Here is a 4,469-nt window from a genome sequence, read left to right on the forward strand (position 1 = left end):
AGGGCCTTTCAAAACAAAGCTTGGGACAGCCCATCGGGCCTCTTTCTCCTTGCCTAGCAGAATTCTTGGTGACATGTTGCCAGCGTTCAAGCACAGTGCACACACATGAATGCCTGCATACACATGCCCACATACACATGCCCACACATGTGCCCCCCCACAGGCAGGTACGCACACAGTCACGCACACACAGACGTGAGCATATGCACTCGCACACACACACACGGTCACGTGCATACATCCGTACACACATTCTTGTAAGTGCACACACACACGCTCACATGTAAGCACGCACACACACATGAACACACAAGTGCCCCCACACACAGTGCTGTCTAGTGCTAGCCTCGGTTCCTTTCTGTGCCATCGCCCATGATTAATGTGGATGCTTTCATGAATGTGTTTTCTCTCGGCGCCGGGCCTGTGCTTAGCCCGCGTAAAGCAGTGCTCTCAGGCCCAGGAGCTGGGGTCTGGTTAAAGCGGTGCCTCGCTGTCAAAAAATGTTGGCAGCTGGAGAGCAGAGTTTGCAAAGGCCAAGAGGAGACGTGTGGCAAAATGAGGGTGCACAGTGCACCCTGGGCCTCAGGGGCTTCCTGAAAACCTGCCCTTCCTCAGGCCCCAAGGGCCCACGGCACAGACCACTCCACCCCGCACCATTCCTCCCCACACTGCTCCTTCCCGCGCATTCTTGCTCCTGCCCCGGCGGGCTGTTTGCAAAAGGTGCTGGCAGGCGTTTCCCCAGGAAGGCCAGGGCCTCCTGCATGCGCCTCTGCGGCCCCCTCCACGTGCCAAGCCACCAGGCCTCCCGCCTCCCTAAGCCCACCCAGACGGGGGCTGAGTCTTGGTGAGCAAGATTGATGGCACAGGATCAGAGCCAAGGGGAGGCTCCTGCCAGCCGGAGGCCTGGGGAACTGAAAACATGGCCTCAACAGCATCTCGGGACCGAGGAGCTCAGAGGAGCATGGGGAATGAAAACCTCAGTTTTGGTTACTCTCTTAATAATCCAGGGCCCTCGGAGACGGTGGGGAAGATGAGGCCTCTTATGCTGATGGCAACGGGAATCCCTCAGGATTTCAATCCCCATTCTGGGGGAACTGTTGAAAGGGGCCCCTTGCCGGGTGTATAAAGGGATCCTCACAGCAACCCCAAAGGTTGGGCCCCATTGTCCTCGTTTTACAGCAGAGGAGGAGTGGAGACTGGGGGATGGCGACTCCCCAAGGCCACACAGCGGAGGGTCGGAAGCAAGGCCCACCTTCCGCCCTCACCCACACAGACCCCAGCCTCAAATGCAAGCCCGTTAAGGCACACTCTGTATGTAGAAACTCTCACCGATTTTGTCTGTGCACAAAGCTAAACAAACGTCCCTAGAACAGGATATGGGATTGTGGCAGGCTTGTCTGGCAACTGGGAGAATTGGATTTAGCCAGAGAATTTCTTCCATGAAAAAAGGCTGTGGGCTGGAACCTGTTCACAGCAAGTGGTGAGGCCAGACCACGGCCCACAGCCACAGCCCACAGCCCCATGGCCCCACAGCCCCAGAGCCCCAGAGCCCCAGAGCCCCACCACACACCCTGCCTGCTGCAGATGTACCCTCTGCTGGGGCCTCCCACGTCCCCCTCTTTGAGGTGAGGGAGTCGGGTGGCCCTCCTTCACCGCACCAGCAGAAAACCCAACAAGGAAAGCGCAGCCAAGGGCTCTGCACCCACAGCCAAGGGCTGTATGTCCAGGGGGTAGGAGAGACGGTCCCCTGGGGGAGCAGAGTAGGGAGGTCTCGAGGAGCCATGACCTTTCAGGCAGACATGGCACTTAGGGGTGAGGAAATGCTTGTTTGCAGAGAGAGGAAGGGAGTGGGAGCTGGGGGCTGTGTTGTTTCCATATTCACAGAGCCAGATGAAAATAGGGTGGTCTAGAGTCGGTGGGGGAGGGACTTCAGGGCATCGGTTCTCATCGCCCACCCGACAGGGGTGGGCTCACCAAGGTCCCTGAGGGGAGCAGCTCCCCCTGCATTCGGACAGCTGTGAAAAGACACTCCTGACTTGCGTGTGACCCTGCGCGAGCCACTCCCTGTGCTGGGGGCCCAGGTTTCCCTTTGTAAGACAGAGGGAGGATGGCAGCTGCAAGAAGACAGCTAAGGACAATGGCGGAAGAGAGAGGGAAGTGGGGGAGCAGCGGGGGTGGGGGGCCTTTCTCAGACTCCAGCCTAGTGAGGAGTCCCTGCGCAGAAGAGGACACGACCACCCAGTGCGATCACGCCGCACAGTGGGGCTGCGGGAGAGCAGAGAATCCCCCTCTAGGGTGGGCTCCTAAGGGACGCGGGGTCCAGCCTCGCAGAGGACACGGCCCAGCTGGGGTACAAGGTCAGAGGGAGGGCAGTGAGCCCAGGGACCCGGGGGTCTGCTTGGCAGCAGAAGGGGCTTCTGAGGAAGGCCCAGCCTGGCGGTGGGGACCTAACAGGGGCTCACCCTGCTTCAAGCAGCAGGGTCTGAGCCCAGCTCCCAGCTAGGCTGCCGGCAAGGGAGAAACAAATGGAAAATTCAAGGTCCCTGCATTCCGAGAGGGCATTTGGTGCCTCTGCCACCCTCCTGGGCCTGTGTGTGTGCCGTATGTGCAAAATAGGGTGCGTGTGTGTGGGAACATGTCTCTGTGGGTTGTGTGTGACTTATAAACGCGTGTGAGTGCACGTCTGTGTACATGTGTGAGTATGACTGTCTCTGCGTGTACATGTACATGTGTTTGCGTGTGTGCACTTGAGTGTGGATGTTTATGAGCGTGTACGTGTGTTCATGTGTGTGCTTACGTGTGTGTGTGTGCGTGATTGTGTATGGCCAGGGCTGTGATCACAGACATCAGGGAAAAGCTCAGTACCCAAGCAGGGCCTTGGTCCCCAAACCGCCTCAGGCAGGAGAGGCGGGGGTGCCTGCCAGGGCCCCTCACCACCCTGGGCCGCTTCCTCCTGGGCAGGGCCCGCTGGGCAGGGAGCTCCAGTGGATCCCTGCCAGGTCTCCTGGCTCGCACTGCCCCCCAGTGGCCATCCTCAGTGCCCAAGGGCCTGGGGCTGGAGTGGACAGCGAACCACAGATAGGGCCCCGGAAGGACCAAGGCCATGGGCCCCCTCTGTGCAGGGGCTCTGTCCTCCAGCCCCCCTCCAAGAAAACAGCAGATTTTCTGACCTAAGACCTCCAGACCCACCAGGATGGTGCCTGTCCCTTCCAGGTGGGCCACCTCGCCCAGGCTTCTGGAGGGGAGAACCAGCCCCTTTTGACTAAACCAACTGCCAGGGATCTTAAAGAGGAAGGACCAGCCCATCCGATGCGCCCACCCGGAGATGCCTCCTGCCTGCCACCAGCTCCTGGTGGCCTCTGCCAGGTCACCCCTTGGTTCCAGACCTCAGCTGCAGCATCTGGGTTGGCAGGGCTGAGGACCCTCGCAATCAGACATCTCATGAGTTTTGGACTTTAAGACCTGATCAGCAGGGTCTGGGAGCTGCCCTGAATGTACCCTCAGAACCCCCTACAGAGGGGATCCTCAAAGCTTCTGCAGGATTGAGCTGCGTGTCCTGCTGCTGGAGCCAGCCACCCGGGCTTTCCCGTTCTTGGGAGGAAAGGAAAGAGAAGAACGAGTCCTTTCTGGGCCAATGAGGACTCAGGCCAGGAAAGCGAGGGGCTGGGCCAATACCCATCCCCCTGTCCCTGCCAGACGCATTTTCAAGAGTCTCTATTTTGGTCAAGAGAGTGGGCCTGGGAGAGAAAAGTGCTTGTGAGCGGAAGTTACAGAGGTCCTCTCAGGGCCATGGTGATGGGTGGGGGGCCCTCAGGAGGTCGGGCAGGGCTGTCCTCCCACCACAGAATCCCCCCAAACGGCAGCCTCATAGCATTGTCAGAACTCGTCTTCCTTACACAATTTCCGGATGAAATATCTGAAAAAAAAGAAAAACAATGCCCAGTTACGTTGGAATGTCTGACAAAGATGCAACATTTGAGATACGCTTATATGAAGACGTTATTTATTGTTGGTCTGAAATTCCAATGTAACAGAGTGTTCTGTGTTTTTATTTGCTGAGCCTGACAACAACAGCACTGTCTCTCCTCCAGGTTCCCGGTGGATTTTCTCTTTCCCAGGCACAGGGCTGTGCCTTGCTCCCCTGAGGGACGCCCATCTCAGGTGATGGGGTCTGTCCATCTCGGGCTGCCTCTGCCAGCTCCCCACTTCAGATGGACTCTAGCAGCTGGGCTTGCACAGCCCACTGCCCGGGGTCCCGCAGATGAAAACACCCCACTGGGGTTGTTAACTCAAAAGAATGTGCCTATCGGCTCAAAGTTCAGCTGCAGTCGCATTCATGGCCTCCGTCTACTGGACGGCCTCCCAGGGTCCTGGCACACATGCCAGGCCCACCTTCCCTCATTCAGGTGCCTCTGAGGGCCCGTTACCAGCAGGGCAGGAGGAAGTTGTGGAGTGTGCCAGATCCTTGC

The 4,469-nt window shown here is 58.4% G+C and overlaps 2 annotated features.

The window, feature by feature from the left end:
• Positions 1 to 647: an enhancer, noted in NCBI's record as "H3K4me1 hESC enhancer chr14:101698732-101699378 (GRCh37/hg19 assembly coordinates)". NCBI's record gives its function as "activates a minimal SCP1, AML or CMV promoter by ChIP-STARR-seq in primed H9 embryonic stem cells {active_cell/tissue: H9 hESC(primed)}" and the evidence as "EXISTENCE:reporter gene assay evidence [ECO:0000049][PMID:30033119]".
• Positions 3,632 to 4,255: an enhancer, noted in NCBI's record as "H3K4me1 hESC enhancer chr14:101702363-101702986 (GRCh37/hg19 assembly coordinates)". NCBI's record gives its function as "activates a minimal SCP1, AML or CMV promoter by ChIP-STARR-seq in primed H9 embryonic stem cells {active_cell/tissue: H9 hESC(primed)}" and the evidence as "EXISTENCE:reporter gene assay evidence [ECO:0000049][PMID:30033119]".

The sequence above is a fragment of the Homo sapiens genome, chromosome 14, assembly GCF_000001405.40.
Source record: "Homo sapiens chromosome 14, GRCh38.p14 Primary Assembly".
Lineage (NCBI taxonomy): Eukaryota > Metazoa > Chordata > Mammalia > Primates > Hominidae > Homo > Homo sapiens.